Source organism: Homo sapiens, chromosome 4, assembly GCF_000001405.40.
Source record: "Homo sapiens chromosome 4, GRCh38.p14 Primary Assembly".
Lineage (NCBI taxonomy): Eukaryota > Metazoa > Chordata > Mammalia > Primates > Hominidae > Homo > Homo sapiens.
This window is the reverse complement of record NC_000004.12, coordinates 96,451,075-96,469,994: the sequence shown is the minus strand read 5'-3', so window position 1 is coordinate 96,469,994 and position 18,920 is coordinate 96,451,075. Positions and strand designations below refer to the sequence as shown.

The following is an 18,920-nucleotide window of genomic DNA, read 5'->3' as shown; positions in this document are numbered from 1 at the left end:
GCTCTGTGTCCCCACCCAAATCTCATCTCAAATTGTACTCCCATAATTCTCAAGTGTTGTGGGAGAAACTCAGTGGGAGATAACTGAATCATGGGGATGGTTTCTCCCATACTGTTCTCGTGGTAGTGAATAAGTCTCATAAGATCTGATGGTTTGATAAAGGGAAACCCGTTTCACTTGGCTCTCAGTCTCTCTCTTGCCACCACCATGTGATGTGCCTTTCACCTTCCAAAATGATTGTGAGGCCACCCCAGAGACATGGAACTGCAAGTCCAATAAATCTCTTTCTTTTGTAAATTTCCCAGTCTCAGGTATGTCTTTATCAGCAGCATGAAAATGGACTAATACAGTAAATTGGTTCCAGTAGAGTGGGGTATTGCTGAAAAGATACCTGAAAATGTGAGAGTGACTATAGAACTGGGTAACAGGCAGAGGTTGGAGCAGTTTGAAGGGCTCAGAAGAAGACAGGAAAATGTGGGAAAGTTTGGAACTCCCTAGAGACTTATTGAATGGCTTTGACCAAAATGCTAATAATGATATGAACAATGAAATCCAGGCTGCAGTTGTCTCATATAGAGATGAGGAACTTGTTGAGAACTGGAGCAAAGGTGACTCTGGTTATCTTTTAGCAAAGAGACTGGCAGCATTTTACCCCTGCCCTAAAGATTTGTGGAGCTTTGAACTTGAGAGTGATGATTTAGGGTATTTGGCAGAATATATTTCTAAGCAGCAAAACATTCAAGAGGTGACTTGGGTGATGTTAAAGGCATTCAGTTTTAAAAGGGAAACAGCATAAAAATTCAGAAAATTTGCAGACTGGCAATGTGAAACAAAAGAAAATTCCATTTTCTAAGGAGAAATTAAAGCTGGCTGCAGAAATTTGCATAAGTCAGGGGAAGCTGAATGTTAATCACCAAGGCAATGGAGAAAATGTCTCCAAGTCATGTCAGAGACCTTGCAGCAGCCCCTCCCATCATAGGCCCAGAGGTTTAGGAGGAAAAAATGATTTTATGGGCTGGGCCCAGGGTCCCTCTGCTGTGTAGAGTCTAGGAACTTGGTGTCCTGTGTCCCAGCCACTCCAGCTGTAGCTAAAAGGGGCCAAGGTATAACTCAGGCTGTTGCTTCAGAGGGTGGAGGCCCCAAGCCTTGGCAGCTTCTATGTGGTGTTGAGCCTGTGGGTGCAAAGAAGTCAAGAATTGAGGTTTGGGAACCTCCACCTAGATTTCAGAAGATGTATGGAAACACTTGGATGCCCAGGCAAAATTTTGCTGCAGGGCCTGGGCCCTCACAGAAAACCTCTCTAGGGCAGTGCAGAAGAGAAATGTGGGGTGGGCACCCCTACACAGAGTCCCCACTGAAGCTCTGCCTAGTGGAGCTGTGAGAAGAGTGCCACTGTCCTCCACACCCCAAAATAGTAGATCCACTGACAGCTTCCATCATGCTCCTGGAAAAGCCACAGACACTCAATGCCAGCCTGTGAAAGCAGCTGGGAGGAAGGCTGTTCCCTGCAAAGCACAGGGGTGGAGCTGCCCAAGACCATAGGAACTGACCCCTTGCATCAACATGACCTGACATGAAGTTAAAGAAGACCATTTTAGAGCTTTAAGATTTGACTGCCCTGCTGGATTTCAGACTTGCATGGGGCCTTTAGTCCCTTTGTTTTGGCCAATTTCTCCTATTTGAAATGGCTATATCCACCCAATGCCTGTACCCCATTGTATCTAGGAAGTAACTAACTTGCTTTTGGTTTTACAGGCTTATAGGCAGAAAGGACTTGCCTTGTCTCGGATGAGACTTTGTACTGTGGACTTTTGAGTTAATGCTGAAATGAGTTAAGATTTTGGGGGACTGTTGGGAAGGCATGATTGGTTTTGAAATGTGAGGACATGAGATTTGGGAGGGGCCAGGGGCAGAATAATATGGTTTAGCTCTGTGTCCCCACCCAAATTTCATCTTGAATTGTCTTCCCATAATCCCCATGTGTTATGAGAGGGACCCATGGGCAGTTTCCCCCATACCGTTCTCATGGTAGTGAATAGGTCTCAAGAAACCTGATGGTTTGATAAGTGGAAACCCATTTCGCTTGGCTCTCATTCTCTCTTTTGCCACCACCAGGTGAGATGTTCCTTTCCCCTTCCACCATGATTTTGAGGCCTCCCCAGCCATGTGGAACTGTAAGTCCAGTAAACGTGTTTCTTTTGTAATTTGCCCAGTCTCAGGTAAGTCTTTATCAACAGTGTAAAAACGGACTAATACATCGTCATAAATTTTCCTGGTAGCTATCATTCCTGTCACATATGTATTTCTGTTAGGAATAAAGTATAGCTTTAAATCAACATCAGGATCTGTGAGGATATTCTCTTTCAGACTTCAAATATTATGGAATATACTTAATGCGAACTGTGGAAATAAAGAGACTGGCTTAGGAAGTCTTCTACTTCTAACTAAATTTTATTTTTCTTTTCTCATCCCAACATTCTTCCAACATATCTCATGTTACATTTTAAAATTTTCATTTGGCATTTTAAAATTCTACTTTCCTTGTAGTTTAGTTTTGATTGACTTTTTGAAGCAGTGGGCTGATACTTGAGTAAGACGTTTCTTATTGAGAAAACAACATACATTTGGATAATCTGGTTTCTGTTTTATAGTTGAATATCAGGACTGCATATGTCTGTGATGTCTGTGTGTAATATGACATTTTAAATGCCTTATTTTACTCTCTATTCTGGGTAGGACTTTTATTTCTAGAAGATGATATTTTAACACAAATACATTTAGTATTTTAAGCTTATCATTCAAGTTATAGTTCTTCCCAATATATCATTACAATTCTTTTAAAAAAACTACAACAATACATAATACTAAGCTTCTCTATAGTGCTAGCACATGGGGGATTGTTTTAACATCTATCAGACAAAAGATGAATTGTTAAAAATAGTTTTGTTAGGTATAAATGTTGATGCTTAAAACAGAGCAAATATGCTAATCAAAAGACAGCCACAATATATTTCATTTTCATCTATCATATTCCCCTGAATTCAGAGTTGTGAGGTATATAAAATCAGAAAGTTATACTCCAAAGGCATTGGTTTCTAAGGGCACTGATTCAGGTACCTGTGTTATCTGCACTTCATCCTTTCCCAGCACAACTCTACATCCATTTGTGATTCAAAATGCCCACAGAATATGGATAAGAAATTAGGAAATGAAAATCATGGTTTTGGTGGTGGATTTTAAAAGTTGTTCCTTTAACATTAAGACCAGGGTTGGGATAGGTATAGTCCTGATAATTAATGTTTCATGTTGAAGACCTTGGTTACTTAACTAGAGAAGCTTACGCTTAAATTGACCAAAATGCAGACAATAAAATTATGGAATAATCTTAAACCTGGGGAGCTAAATTAGATGATAATTTGTAGGCAAACTGAGCAAGTGTGAGAAACTTCAACCTGTACTCCAACTCTGAGTTTGAATGGGAAATTAATATCATCCAGAGAACAGTGAGTAGGGACAAACATCATTTTAAAAAATAAATAAATAACAAGTCTGAAAAATCTTGCCTTGAAAGATAATTAAAGGTAGGAAATCAAAACCAGCAATAGGTGGACTATGAAAACAAATTCAAACATTACGGAAATAGATTATGGATCATCTATATGGCTGAGAGGAAAAGTATATAATTCACTCTCATTTTGGATGGAAAATCAGCCTCTGTCTCCACTAAAAAGGAGCAGAGATTTTGGTTTATTTGTTTTAGTTTTTACTAGTCAAGTGAATCAGTGAGAGTAAAGAAAAAAAAATCTGTAACTGGTTGTGATAAATTAGTTGTAAGCATTACTGCACTTGGATAAGCCAAAAAGGCTCTAATGCTCTACTTCTCTGAAGAAATATGGTGAAACCATTTATATATCCGAGATATTTACCTGGTGAAATATGTTGACATGTTTCAAATATATATTGTCAGCATTTTTAATATTTACTAAGTTAACATCACTTCTGTTTCTGACTATGGAAAAACTTTATCTTTTCTATAAGAGCATCATGAGATTCCTCCTTGCCTACAGATAACAAAGGATAGGTTAGGTTATGTCTGTTTATAACAGAAATCTTACAAGTTTAACGGGTTTATACAGAATTCAGTATGATAAAGGAGGAGATGAAAGAAACTACAACTCTAAGACTTATCTTGGATACCTACAAAGCAGAATAATGCAGAGACACAAAGCAAAGGTATGGAGAAGATGTTGTCTGTAATGTAAACAATAAAACAATGAAATTAGGAACGTGAGAAAAAATGTGGTGTATACAGAATAGAGAGAACTAAAGCTAAATGTCAAAATTTTACTTCTGGAAATGGCAGAATAGCTTCTGTCAAAGTAACTTTACTGCAGATAGCAATTATTGAATCTGAAAAAGCATTTTTCAAAGCAACAGTTTGAAAGCACTAGAGAAACCAAAATCAGGCCAAAACTAGAGAATAGTTGACTCTTTAAAGAACAGAACTGTGTGGGGTGAAATTAATGTTTATATGGCTTGCCACTGAAGCCACTGTGAGTCGACTGGCTGCAGAGTTGCTATAACTGAAAAAGAGACACACAGCTCCACGGATAAGAGGATGAACTACACCACTACAGTGTCTGGAATGTGGTGTTTGGTAGGGCAGGGGGAGGGTGGGCATAGAGAGAAAGAGACACCCAAGATATATCCCACAAAATTTCAATTCTAACTTTACCTAAATCCTTGGCTGGCCCCAGAACAGCACATGTGTGGTCAAGATGCCAAGAACACTAGCAAAATCAAATGTGGGAGGCCTGAAAGAATGACAGGAGAAACAAGTTTGGAATTTGAGTCTAGTTAAATTAACCATCTGTTTGAAGAGATATTAATACTCTTCAGAGGAAGATAAATAAACCTAAATTCTTTACACCATATCAAATATAGTACCAAGTATAGAAGAAAAGAATGGTAATATTGCAGAAAAACCAAGAGAATAAAAATCTTGGAAGCAGGTAGAAAAAAATAAAATACATATTAAATGTGAAAGAAGCCATAGACACAGTGGCTGACTTCTCATCAGAAGCAATAAAGGAATGATGACAAATGTAGAGGAGGAAAAATTTTGTTGCTCCCTCATCACTAGGTTCATGGCTGAGATCCCTATAACAACAAAAAAAGATTAACAAGAACAAAGATTATACATTTATTTAATGTAAGTTTACTTGACTTGAGACACACTTTATAAGGAAATTAAGACCTAAAGAAACAGAAAAATCTGTATATTTTATGCTAACTTTTATAAAGAAGTGGATAGTTGTGGAGAAGTATGGTTGGAGAAAGAGAATGTAAACTAATAGTAATAAACTGGGGAACACTTAGAAAAGCCTATTTGTTCATATTCTTCTCTATGTCCCTGTGTTTTCTGAAATAAAGACATTCCTTTCCTTTGCATAGAGGGTGGGTACCACTGCAGTGAGAGCTTTATGACCTGCTGCCTGGTAGAAAGGCAGGAGGAAAGTGAGAGTGACCTTCCTGCTTCTAGGGTTTTCTTAAATACAATGGTTCCATATTTGGGGGTATCATGTCCTAAATCCCATTACAAAGAAAGCACATTTTTAAAGTGCCTAAATACATTTAAAAATAAATAAGTAAACCCTATCAACCAAGAATCTGGTAACCAAAAAAGTCTTCCAAGACCTAACAACAATTTTAGGTAAGTAAAAATTATATTAGTTATGAAGGACCTTGCACTTCAAGAAATGATAATTATGATCTGCAGGCTGAAGGGAAATGCCAACAAATGGAAACCAAGATCTACAGGAAGAAAGGAAGAGCAGTAGAAATGATAAATATGTGGAAACATATATGCTTATCCAGTTAAATTTGTAGGTCATGTCAGGAAATCACATGCTTCTATATTCTCTTTGTAGGAGGAGGAAAAGCTAATGAAAAAGGTTTGAAATAAATGATATGCAGAAATAAACTCTTGGGAACAGTGTTTCTCTGCATTGGTTGCTTAGTTGAAGTTGGAGAAATTTATGGTGTTGGTCAAAATTTTTCCAGGAGTACTCAGCAGCCTTGATACAGGCAGAAAGGTCAACAAGTAGAATTTTTCAGGAAGGGTGGGCAAAAGAAAATGAAATCACGAATACTGTCAAGAGAATAAGTAATGGACTGCAGAATCTAACTGGACAGTAAAGGAAAGAAAAACAGGAGAATTTTGATGGGGAAAAATGGAAAAGTGGTCAAGGAGTTCCTGTGAGGTCCAGAAACGCAGTTAGTTGTTTGGCTAACCTCCATGCCCAGTGAAAACATCTTCAGTGGTAGGCAGGTTTGGGTTAGAAAGAACTACGTGCCATAAACAAGATGACACATTTTCACAGTACAAGGGATAGGAACCAGGTCAGTAAACTACGATTAGAAAAAGAGATAGAATGAGGCATAATCTTCAAAGTGGGAAACTTAATCATGAGGGTACATGTGGAATGCTTAGTATGTAGCAGTTGGCACATGGAAGAACATTAATCTTGAGAACTCTAGTAAGGGGAAATAAGTAGTTTCCATCTCTCAGGGTTCTGGGCAAGTATTAATCACAGCAGGGAGATTTTTGTTTTGGCTTTTTAAGTTGGAAAATGGGGATTCCTAGAAAGTATACTAAAAAGAATTCAAAGGGAAGAGAAAATTGGACATTAGTATCAGGATGAGAGTACAAGGGCTCACATCTTGAGTGGTGACCAATAATAACGGAGTTGTGAGACATGGTAGGTGCAGTTGTTCTTAAGAATCCTTCACGATAGGCCGGGCGCGGTGGCTCACGCCTGCAATCCCAGCACTTTGGGAGGCCGAGGTGCGCAGATCACGAGGTCAGGAGAGCGAGACCATCCTGGCTAACACGGTGAAACCCCGTCTCTACTAAAAATACAGAAAATTAGCTGGGCATGGTGGCACGCATCTGTAGTCCCAGCTACTCGGGAGGCTGAGGCAGGAGAATGGCATGAACCCGGGAGGCGGAGCTTGCAGTGAGCTGAGATACACCACTACACTCCAGCCTGGGCGACATAGCAAGACTCTGTCTCCAAAAAAAAAAAAAAAAAAAAAAAACACATATCCATCACAATAAACCTATTGGGTAGAGGATTGCTGTCAGGGCATGGAGGTTCAAGGGTGTGAGCACTGGTCATTGCCAATAGCAGTCTGGGCTCTTTGAACTGGAGCAGAGCCTTCGCTTGGCTGTATGCTTGAGAGAATACAGAAGTAAGGTCAAAGTGGTGATGATGGTAAGGACATTTTGGAAGACTGTTGTGTGGATTTCAGTGTTAGGCAAAGCAGAGCCATCTGTTCAAACCTACTCCAAATACATGGAGACAATGCTATTATGATTGTGATAATGTCACAATCTACTTATTTTAGATCAGGGGAACATTTTTCTAACTCTTCTGATTTATTTCTTATGTCTCTAGATAGAAACTGTCATTAATAGTAAGCTTGTGACTCAAAGTTTAGGACTTTTTCTGTAATGCTAAGAATTTAAAAGATTTTTTAAAAAATAAATGACATTCCCTCAGTGTTTTTCTGACTATTATCATTACTTATCATTACTTCTTTAATGTATCTCAGGAGTAATTTGCTAAACAGATACCACAAAATTGACCTCTGAGTCAATTGGTGGTGGTTACTATTTTTCTTGATTCAGTCTCTGAATATGCTTCTTCATGGACTCTCCTCCCCTCTTCCTTTCCCATCCTTTCCTTTTTTCATTTCTTATTTTTCTTTTTAGAAATTTCCGTTGTCTTTCTTTTCCCTGATTTTCTTCACCTTTCTCTTTGTCTAATTCTTTTGGAGGTATGTGTTTAACAATATCGTTTGGGCTAAAGTGTCAAGTAGCTCATGTTTTGAGGTTTATAAGTCCCTTGTACAATAAATCGGAAACTCATGAAGACGGAAAAGGAGGAGTATTCTGATAAACTGGTGAGAACAATACTGAAAAATAAAGTCAGGGATAAAGAGTGACATATGGCAACACAGAACAAAAACATTAAAAATGAAGAATTCATTTATAATTTCTATAAATGTGTATATTAAGTACCTCCTAAGAAACAGAAATCACTCTATAGATTGAGAGTAAAATAAAAACATTGCCATAAAGTAACTAATTATAATCCAAAATAGTAGGTATATTTATTTAGTCACAGTCCGCTTGGCATGTCTCCTTACCATATTGTATTATAAGTATTATTTCTTATCTAATTACTTGATTAACCACAGTTTATATCTTGATCTGTTCTTTATACTGAAACCTCCTAAAAGTTTATGTTGTTTGGCAAAGTCACAAAAGCCTACTAGGAGAAAAATGATTCTTTCAGCTGAACTAGCAGAAACGAGAGAAACTATTACCCCAGGGACAAAAGAAATAAAGTTAAAAGCCAGAGGGGAGTGAGCTTACTATATACAATATACCAAAAGGAATAACTATTTTGAATCTGACAACAGTGGGAATTATTGGTAGTCACTTTGTTGAAAGTTGAAACATAGATAAGCGGAGAGAAATACCCGTAGAAGATAAAGTTAACAGCTAATAGTTTTTATAATTTAGAAAATTTTCTGAAAATTACTTTCTATATATTAAAATTTTACATAGCATATTTTTACACTCATTTGAGACTAAATTTTAGCTTCAAATATATTTCTCTACACTACTATAATTATTTGACATATATGACATTATTTTCATTATAATAGAATTGTAAAGCAAAAATACAATTTTGATTTTGAAGGAGTTAAATTGAATACCAATACTCTGTTCATAATTTCCTAGAAATTTCAGTTACAAATTTCTGAATGGTACTTCATTAAATGATAATTTTAAAATTCAGAAATGTCATTGAACATACAGATTATATCATTGAAAGGGATTAAATATCTCTTTAAAATTCTTCTCCCATAATATGAATCTTCTGCCTATTCTCTTCTCAGAAAATGGCAATATGAGATTTCTAATATTCAGACCAAAACCTTGAGAATCTTCTAAGACTTCTCTCATTGATTTACCTCTCATTTCAACATTTCGACAAGTTATTGAGATTCCATCTCCTAAATATCTCTCAAATACATCTCAGTTGAAAATTTAATGATGAATTACCTTGGAGTATATAATTAAGGGCATGTCCTTGGTAATACATACTGTCAAAGTTCTTTTCTATCTTCTTCTACCTTTCCACATTGTCAACTCTACTTTAACCCCACAGTGAACAAGTAACCACCCTATACTCTATTTATTATAAATATTTGTCATTCAATGAAAGCACACTTTCAAATTTATTGCAAATGTCGATGCTTGTGCCTATTCCTGTAGTATCTATTCCTCATGGTTTTGGCTTTCAAAATCTTAGACTTTTTTTTTCAATTCTCCTTCATAAAGCTTTCCAGGATGGCAACAAATCCCTGCATACACCACGATATTCTGTGATTGGGGCATTTGGTGTATGGCAATAAAGGAATGCACTGTGCCAACTAAGTCTAGGACAAATAGGAAGAGAGGGAGGACAAGGAGATATGGAAAGGAAGAGAAATAGAGAGAAAATATGTAGAAGAAATGTTGGCTTCTTGATACAGTTCATTGAAGGTAAGGAGTTTCATCTATCTCTAGAAATAGTAAGTTGAATTATTGAGAATAAGCTCAAGGTCCATATCAGTTTTCAATTTATTTATTTATTTATTTTTTTGAGATAGAATCTCCCTCTGTTGCCCAGACTGGAGTGCAGTGGTGCAATTTTGGCTCACCTCAACTTTCACCTCCTGGGTTCAAGTGATTCTCCTGCCTCAGCCTCCTGAGTAGCTGGGATTACAGGTGCACACCACCATGCCCGGCTAATTCTTGTAGTTTTAGTAGAGATGGGGTTTCACCATGTTGGCCAGGATGGTCTCGAACTCCTGACCTCAAGTGATCCATCTGCCTCAGCCTCCCAAAGTGCTGGGATTACAAGCATGAGCCACCGTGCCCAGCCTAAATTTATATTCTTATTGGATCATTCAACATGCATTTGCAATTATAAGTAGCATTATAGAGATATCCAGTGTAAACTTTACCCAGTTTCACACAGTAACAATTACAAAAAACTCTAGTACAGCTTCACAACAAGGATGTTGACATTGATAAAATCTACTGAACTTATTCACATTTCTAGTTTTGTATTCATTTGTGTGTGTGTGTGTGTGTGTGTGTGTGTGTATGTATGAGTGTTTAGTTCTAAACAATTTTATCTCATGTGTAAGTTTTTGTACCCACTACCACAGTCAAGATATGGAACAATTCCAAAACCACAAGGATCCCTTCTGTTGCTATTTAAAAACACATAAACCTCTCCAACCCACCCTTGTCCCTAACCCCTGGGCAGCCACTAACCTATTACCCATTTCTAAAATATCATAATTTCAAAATATTGTATAAATAGAATCATAAAGTATGTAACCTTTCAGAATCAGATTTTTCCACTCAGTATTATTGTCTGGATAATCATCTAAGTTGTCATGTATATCAATAATTTGTTCCTTTTTAATGCTAACTAGTACTAATATGATATATATTATGACAGTTTGTTTAACCATTAGTCAGTGAAGAACGTCTATACTGTTTATAGTTTTTGGCTATTACAAATAAAGCCACTATATACAGTCATATGCATGTTTTTGTGTCAACATAAGTTTTCATTTCTCTGGGATAAATCACCAAGATTAAAATATCTGGGTCATATGCTATTTGCATTTGAGTTATACAAGAAACTGCAAACTTGTTTTGTATAGTGGTTGTAACATTTAACATTCCCATCAGCAATGTATGAGTAATTTAGTTTCCCTTTATCCTCACACATTTGGAATTGTCACCATTTATTTTTTTAGTCATTCTGTTAGGTATGTAATGATATTTAATTATGGTTTCAATTTGCATTTTCCTAATGGCTAAGGATGTCATACCTCTGTTTATCTCCTTATGTGCCAACTGTACAGCCCCTTCAGTGAAATATCTATTTTTTATTTTAGTTTTCAGAGTTCTTTATATATGCTACTTACCTATTCTTTGCCAGATATGTGGTTTGCAAATATTGTTTTCCAACCTCTTGCTTGTTATTTCATCTGCTTAACAGGGTCACCAAGAAAACTATTTTTCATTTGGATGGAGTCTCAAGTTACTAATTTTTTCTTTTATCAATCATGCCTTAAGATCAAGAACTGTTTGCCAGTTCTAGATCTCAAATATTTTCCCTAATGTTTATTTCTAATAGTTTTATACTTTTCCATTTTACATTTGTCTTTGTTATATTTTCGAATTAATTATTATAAAAAGGCTTAAGATTTATGTCGGGGGTTATTTTATTTTATTTTTTGCCCATGGATGTCCAGTTGTTCCAATACTACGTGTTGAAATGATGTTGAATTAAATTGAATCAGATTTCTCTGTTTGTTTTTTAGACCTTTGTCAAAAATTAGTTGAGAGTATTTGTGTGGGTCTAACTTCTAAGTTCTATATTCTATTCCAGTCTGTTTATACCTCCTCCAATAACATGCTGTCTTAACTACCATAGCTATGTAGTAAAACACAGTATCAGGTAGAGTGCTTTTTCTCACTTTATGCTTCTTTGTCAAAATTATTTTTAGCTTTTGTAACTTCTGTGCCTTTCCTTTCTTTTTTTTTTTTTTTTTTTTGAGATGAAGTCTCGCTCTGTTGCCCAGGCTGGAGTGCAGTGTCGTGACCTTGGCTCACTGCCACCTCTGCCTCCCAGGTTCAAGTGATTCTCCTGCCTCACCCTCATGAGTAGCTGAGATTGCTGTGTTCCACTGCTCCCAGCTAATTTTTTGTATTTTTTTTAGTAGAGATAGGGTTTCATTATGTTGGCCAGGTTGGTCTTGAACTCCTGACTTCATGTAATCCACCCGTCTAGGCCTCCCAAAGTGCTAGGATTACAGGCGTGAGTCACCATGCCTGGCTGTCTTTCCATTTTATTTTTTGGACTAAGTTTGCTTGTATTTACCAAAAACCTTGCTGGAATCTTAAAAGAAAATCAATAGCTCAATTTTGAGTGAACTAATACTTTTGCCATGAAGAATATTCCAATGCATGAATGCAATATATCTTTCACCTAGTTTAGGTCTTCTTTGACTTACTGGTGTTTTATAAGGGGCATATGGATGCTGTATATATTTGTATTAAGTATATACCTAAGTACTTTTTAAATTTTTTATTTGGAGTAATTGTTATTTTATTTTTTAAATTTTATTTATTAAAATAATTTCCACTTTTATTTTAGATTCGGGGAGGAACAAGCCTATGTAGTCTTCCTTCTATTGGTAGGTTCTGGTTTTGGAAACACTGGGATTGGGTCACTTTCTTCTGTTGGGTAACATGCAGGACACTTTGCTGCTATACTGTTTCTCTAGTTCTGTGGTACTAAATCAACTCACCTTCCTCTTACCAACTTTTCAAGCTCTCAAGCCCCCTTTTGTGTTATCTCTAAGGTTTTTAGTTATATTTTGCTGGGAGAAGCTGAGAAAAGTGAGTCTACAAGAACTTGTCCAGATTCCCATATCATTTTAATTCCAGGAAAATGTCTGCCCTTGTCCAGAATTTAATACATGTCAAATAGGTTGCAATAAATTTATTTAAAATCTGCAAGAAAATATGTTTGGTTTTGTAGACTCAATAATGGACAAGGCCTGTATATTTCAAAATGGAAAAGAAAATACCAGCTTTGTGTTTTTATTATTTTATAAACACCTCTTTGATTATAGCATTCACAGCTGAACCTAATAGATGGATGAGCAGGCTATTGCTTCTGTGGGTATCTAAATGGCAGTTAGTTCTGAAGTTTAGAAAATCAAGAAGAGGCAGAACAGGACTCTACTTGAAGATTATTTGTAAATAGGGACCCCAACGAGGTGAAGAGTAATTATGAGAATGTAGATGAAAAAAATTGATATGATTTAATCCATTTTAAAATGTCATAAAGAGTGAAATGACCATTTTTATTTAATATTCATTTTATAAAATATATTAGTTTGACAAATTTATTTTTGGTACATTGTGGAGGTTAAAAGCACATGTGTGCCCATTGTTTTAAATGGCAAGTTTTTCAATAATAATACAGAGGAAACTGAGGATGTCATCAAGATTTGAAAAATTAATGATACCTTGATAAAAGCAGTTGTGGGAAGTATAGCTCAGTAAATTAGGACCTCTTTACTGCCAGATACTAAATTTGAGAGTTGAAATCATTCACACAGCTCACTGTTCACATTATCAGGATCTTACTATTCCACTGATTTTATCAACATAACTTTACTGTTGCCCAACAGAAGTTGCAAATAAGTGTATTGTACATTCCAAGAACTTCTTGAAACATGCTATATTTAATACAAATTATCAAATGCCAATTATACATCAAGACTCTGAACGCTCACCTCAAAAATTTCTATCTTCCTATGTCTGTCAATCCCTAAATCATTATATCACGATTCTTGCCCAATCTTAACAAAGCCATCTTTCATTGAATGACCTGTCTTGAACTACATTTAAATATCTTAAAAAGTATCCCAATTTTTTCCTCTTCTTTCTGAGATGCGAATAAGCATATTTTACAATGGTGTTCTCCCTTTCTAGAGTACGCAATAAACACAGATTTGTCTTTCCAAGGAATTGTATTGGTGATATTTGGTGTAGCAAACACTTGACAATTAATATTTAATAGTGGCTATAATTAACCATTCAAAAGGATTAGTAACTATATTTCCACTGTAGGGGTGTTTCTTATGCACACATATACTCTAGAACCTGCCATGGATCATGGCAATATAATTTTTCCAGTGCTAACTGTGTAGCAGCCATCATGCTAAGTGATTTATAGGCATTATCTCAACTATCCAATGAGATATGTACTGTTAACATCATCATAATCCACATTTTCAAAATGTGGAAACTAAAGCACAGAGAAGTTACACAACAATAGTAAGTTTATGTCGTGGGTAGCAGTGGCAGGACTTGGTCTGAGTGTGTCAGGTTCCAAAGCTTGTGTTGTTTCTTATTTATTTTCTACTGACATTCTTCTCTGCTTTATGTTATAGTTCTAAATGTTTGATTTTATTAAATCCTAGCCATTATCTCCATTTCACAGATGAAGTCTGGAAGGATTTAATTACATAGATGTAGTTTGAAAGACTACAAAGATGTAGTTTGAAAAAGATAGAATTTATGGGAGGGGCCAATATGGCAAACCAGAAGCAGATCCTGTGTATTGCTCTTCCAGAGAGGAAACAAAAGGGCCTGCAGAGGAACACTGACTCTCCAGGCCAATCATCCGAGAAACCATACTGGGATACATCACAGCAGCAGGGGACCACAGAGAGCAGAGAGAATCTAAGCTGGGCATCAGCGTGTCTGGGCTTAGTGTGGAGCCGGGAGAACCTCTCCAACATGGGAAAGGGTGAGTGAGTGAGAACCACTAGGGGGATTCATGCTCTCAACAGAAACCTGTGCAAGACTGGAAACAGGAGAATCTCTCTGCCCCCAACTCCCACACCTCACCACTGCATTTCTAGACTGAGACAGAGAGCCACCCAGATGTTTTGCCTCTTGAGTCCAAGGGGACCTCTACAAGCCTGGGGCCCCAGAGCAGACCAGTGCCATAGTCCAAATAGAGGCTGCAGTTGTGGAGCCTGGGAGTAGTAAGATTGCCCCATCGCCTCTTGCCAGACCGGAGTCAGTGCCAGCTTCTGGCCCAGTGGTCCCACTTGGCCTGAACTTGGCTGGCCACTCCACCCACCCTCACCACTGGTAGCCACGTGGGCAACACTTGCTAGAGCTTCTAGCCAAACTTGCTGTTTCTATGTAAACTCAGCTGGAGGGCACAGTCTCCTGTTGTTCTGGGCAACACTGGGATGGCAGAGTTCACAATCCCACCTGCCTATGTCACTGGTAGTCAGGTGGGAAATAGATGTTAGAGCTTTCGGTCCAGTGGTCCCCACTTTTGTGAAAAGTTAGCCTGCGGACATAGCATCCTGTTGTCCCAGAAAATACCTGGATAGCAGAGCATGTGACCGCATTCACTCCTGTAATTGACTGCCAGGCAGGCAACACCTGCTAGACCTTCTAGCTGAGCAGTCCTGCTTCTGTGTAAACTCAGCTAAAGGATGCAGCTTCCTGTTGCCCTGAGAAACACCCAGAAGGCAAGGCAGGCATCCCCAGCCACCCCCATTTCTGGCAGCTAGGCAAGCCATGCCTGTTAGAGCTTCCAGCCCAGCAGACCTACTTCTTCCTGAATTTGCTGAGGGGCACAGCCTTCTGTTGCCCTGCAAACACCTGGATGGCAGAATGGACTTCTCCACCCACCCCAGCCTCTTGTAGCCAGATGAATCACGCCCATTAGAGCTTCCAATCCAGCAGTGCTGCTTCTCCCTGAACTCTGTGGGCAGGCACAAATCTGTGTTTCCTCATGAAGCACATGGAACAGCCAACCTGAGAAGGATTCAGCTTGTCTGACAACTGAGGCACTTGCCTGAAGGTGCCCCATGGACCAAAGCACCCAAAAACAACAACAACAACAAAATAGGCACAGAGACAGAAATCAGAGGGGGCTCCTCCAAGACCTAGGAGTGAAATAGAATCCAAGCCAGTTAATCAAACCCACCTTATACCACAGTTATACCCTCAAGGGCATCCAAGAAGAAAAAAAGAAAAAAATCCATCCAAAGAATAGTAACTTCAGAGATTAAAGGAAAATCAGCCCACACAAATGAGAAAGAATCAGCACAAGAACTATGACAATTCAGAAACCCAGGGTGGCTTCTTAACGCCAGATCACCACATTAGTTCCTCAACAATGGTTCTTAACCAGTCTCAAATGGCTAAAAATGCCAGAAATAGAATACAGAATGTAGATAGTAATGAAGATCATCGACATACAGGAGATAGTCAAAACTCATTCCAAGAACCCTAAGGATTAAAATAAAGCAATATGGGAGGTGATAGATGAAATGACCATTATAAGAAAGAATCAAACTTATCTTATAGAGCTGAAAAATACAGTAGAAGAATTTCATAATGCAATTTCACGTATTAACAACAAATTTGACCAAGCTGAGAAAAGAATCTCAGAGCTTAAGACTGACTCTCTGAAGTAACTCGGTCACACAAAAATAAAGAAAAAAACAATAAAGAATAATAAGCAAAACCTCTGAGAAATATGGGATTATGTAAAGAGACCAAATCTACAGCTCATTGGACTTCCTGAAAGAGAGGGAAAGAAATCAAGCACCTTGGAAAACATTTTAGCATATCATCCATAAACATTTCCCCAACCTCTCTAGAAAGGCCAACTTTCAAATTCAGGAAATGCAGAGAACCCTTGTGAAATACTGCACAAGAAAACCATCCCCAAGACACATAGTCATCAGATTCTCTAAGGTCAAAATGAAAGAAAAAATGTTACATGCTGCTAGAGAGATGGGGCAGATAGCATACTTAGGGAACACCATCAAACTAACAGCAGACCTGTTAGCAGAAACCCTATAAGCCAAAAGATACTGGGGGCCTATTCTTGGCATTCTTAAAGAAAAAAATTTTCAACTGATGATTTCATATCCAGCCAAACTAAGCTTCATAAGTGAAGGAGAAATAAGATCCTTTTCACACAAGCAAATTCTGAGGATATTTGTTACCACTAGGCCTGCCCTACGAAAGGTCCTGAAGGGAATGCTAAAAATGAAAAAGAAAGACCATGTCTGGCCACTACAAAATCATCCTTAATTACATAGACCAGTGACACTATTAAGCACCCACACAAACAAGTCTGTATAAGAACCAGCTAACGGCATAATTACAGGATGAAATCCACACCTATCAATGCTAACCTTAAATGTAAATGGACTAAACCATCCAATTATAAGGTACAGAGTGGCAAGTTGATGAATAAAATGGTATGCTGTCTTCAGGAGACCCATCTCACATGCAATGGCTCCCCTAGCGTCAAAGTAAACGGATGAAAAAATATTTACCAATCAAATGGAAACAGGAAACAGCAGGGGTGTTATTCTAATTTCAGAAAACACAGACTTTAAGCTGAGTGTGATGGTTCATGCCTGTAATCCTTGCACTTTGGGAGGCTGAGGGAGGCAGATCACCTGAGGTCAGGAGTTCAAGACCAGCTGGGACAACAGGGCAAAACCCCATCTCTACTAAAAATACAAAAATTAGCTAGGCATGGTGGGGTGCACCTGTAGTCCCAGCTACTCAGGAGGCTGAGGCAGGAGAAATGTTTGAACCTAGGAGACAGAGGCTGCAGTTACCTGAGATTTCCCCCCTGCACTCCAGCCTGGGCAACAGAGCAAGGCTCCATATCAGAAAAAAAAAAAAAAAAAAAAAGAAGAAGAAGAAAGAAAAAGAAAACAAAGATCAAAAAAGATAAAGAATTATATAATGGTAAAGGGCTCAAGTCAATGAGAGGACCTAACTATCCTAAATATACATACACTGAACATAGGAGCACCCAGATTTATAAAGCAAGTTCTTAGAAAACTATGAAGAAATTTAAACTCCCACACATAATAGTGGGAGACTTTAACACCCCATTGACAGTATTAGACAGATCATCAAGGCTGAAAACTACCAAAGATTTTCAGGACCTGATCTCTGCACTTGACCAAATGGACCTAATAAGCAACTACAGAACTCTCCATGCAAAAACAACAGAATATACATTCTTCTCATCTGTACATGGCACATACTCTAAAATCAACCACACAATTGGGCATAAAACAATCCTCAGCAAATTCAAAAAAACCAAAATCTTACTAACCACACTCTCAGATCACAGTGCAATAAAAATGGAAATCAATCCTAAACAAGTCACTTAAAACTATACAATTACATGGAAATTAAACTATCTGCTCCTGAATGACTTCTAGGTACATAATGAAATTAAGGCAGAAATCAGAAATTTTTTGAAACTAATGAAAACAACGATACAACATATCAGAATCTCTGAGACATAGTCAAAGCATTGTTAAGAGAGAAATTTATAGCATTAAGCGTACAAATAAAAAAGTTAGAAAGATCTCAACTTAACAATCTAATATCACAATTAAAGGAACTAGAGAAACAAGAGCAAGCCAACCCCAGGCTAGCAGAAGACAAGAAATAACCAAAATTAGAGTTGAACTGAAAGACATTGAGATGTGAAAAACCACACAAAAGATCAGTGAATAGAGGAGTTTATTTTTTGAAAGAATTTATAGGACAGATATACTGCTTGCTAGACTAATAAATAAATAAACAAGTGAGGTGCCCAAGATGGTTGAGTAGAAGTAGCTAGTGTGTGTAGCTTTCATGGAAAGGAATGGAAAAAATGAGTAAATATAGCATCTTCAACTGAAAAATCTATGTACTTACATTTGGATTTATCAAAGAAACAACTTGACCCAGAGATAATGGAGAAAAGCAAGGCAGGACAATGGGCCACCTGTGAGTGATACAAAGCCAAGGAAGCGGTGAGTGAATATGCAAAACTATGCTGCTCCCATGGATCTTTGCAACCCTTGGGTCAGGAGATTCCCCTCACAAACCCACTTCACAAAGGCCTTCAGACTCCACACATACTACTTGGAGCTAAGTGGAGTCTCAGCAGAGCAGCTGCTCAGGCACATGAAGAGACTGGGGCTCTCCATGCTTCCCAGCAAAAGTAGCTGCAACTTTGACAAAGTGAGAGGTTAGACCTCAGTACATATTCTAGGAAAGAGGCTGAATCCAGGGGGCTGAGAAGACAGTCTGCAGGCCCAACTTCCATGGCACCTCACAGGATAAGACCCCCTGGCTTGGAATTCCAGCCAGCCACTGGTAGCACCATTGCACCTCCCTGGGATGGAGCTCCCAGTGGGAG

General features: G+C 37.9%; 1 long non-coding RNA gene across 1 annotated transcript in view; it reads right to left on the bottom strand.

The window, feature by feature from the left end:
- The window catches only part of LINC02267 (long intergenic non-protein coding RNA 2267), a 507,713-nt gene that overhangs the window by 348,421 nt on the left and 140,372 nt on the right, over positions 1-18,920 (bottom strand). The window contains exon 2 of the long non-coding RNA NR_147149.1: positions 18,434-18,503. This is a non-coding gene — a long non-coding RNA (long intergenic non-protein coding RNA 2267). The remainder of the gene's footprint in view (positions 1-18,433; positions 18,504-18,920) is intronic.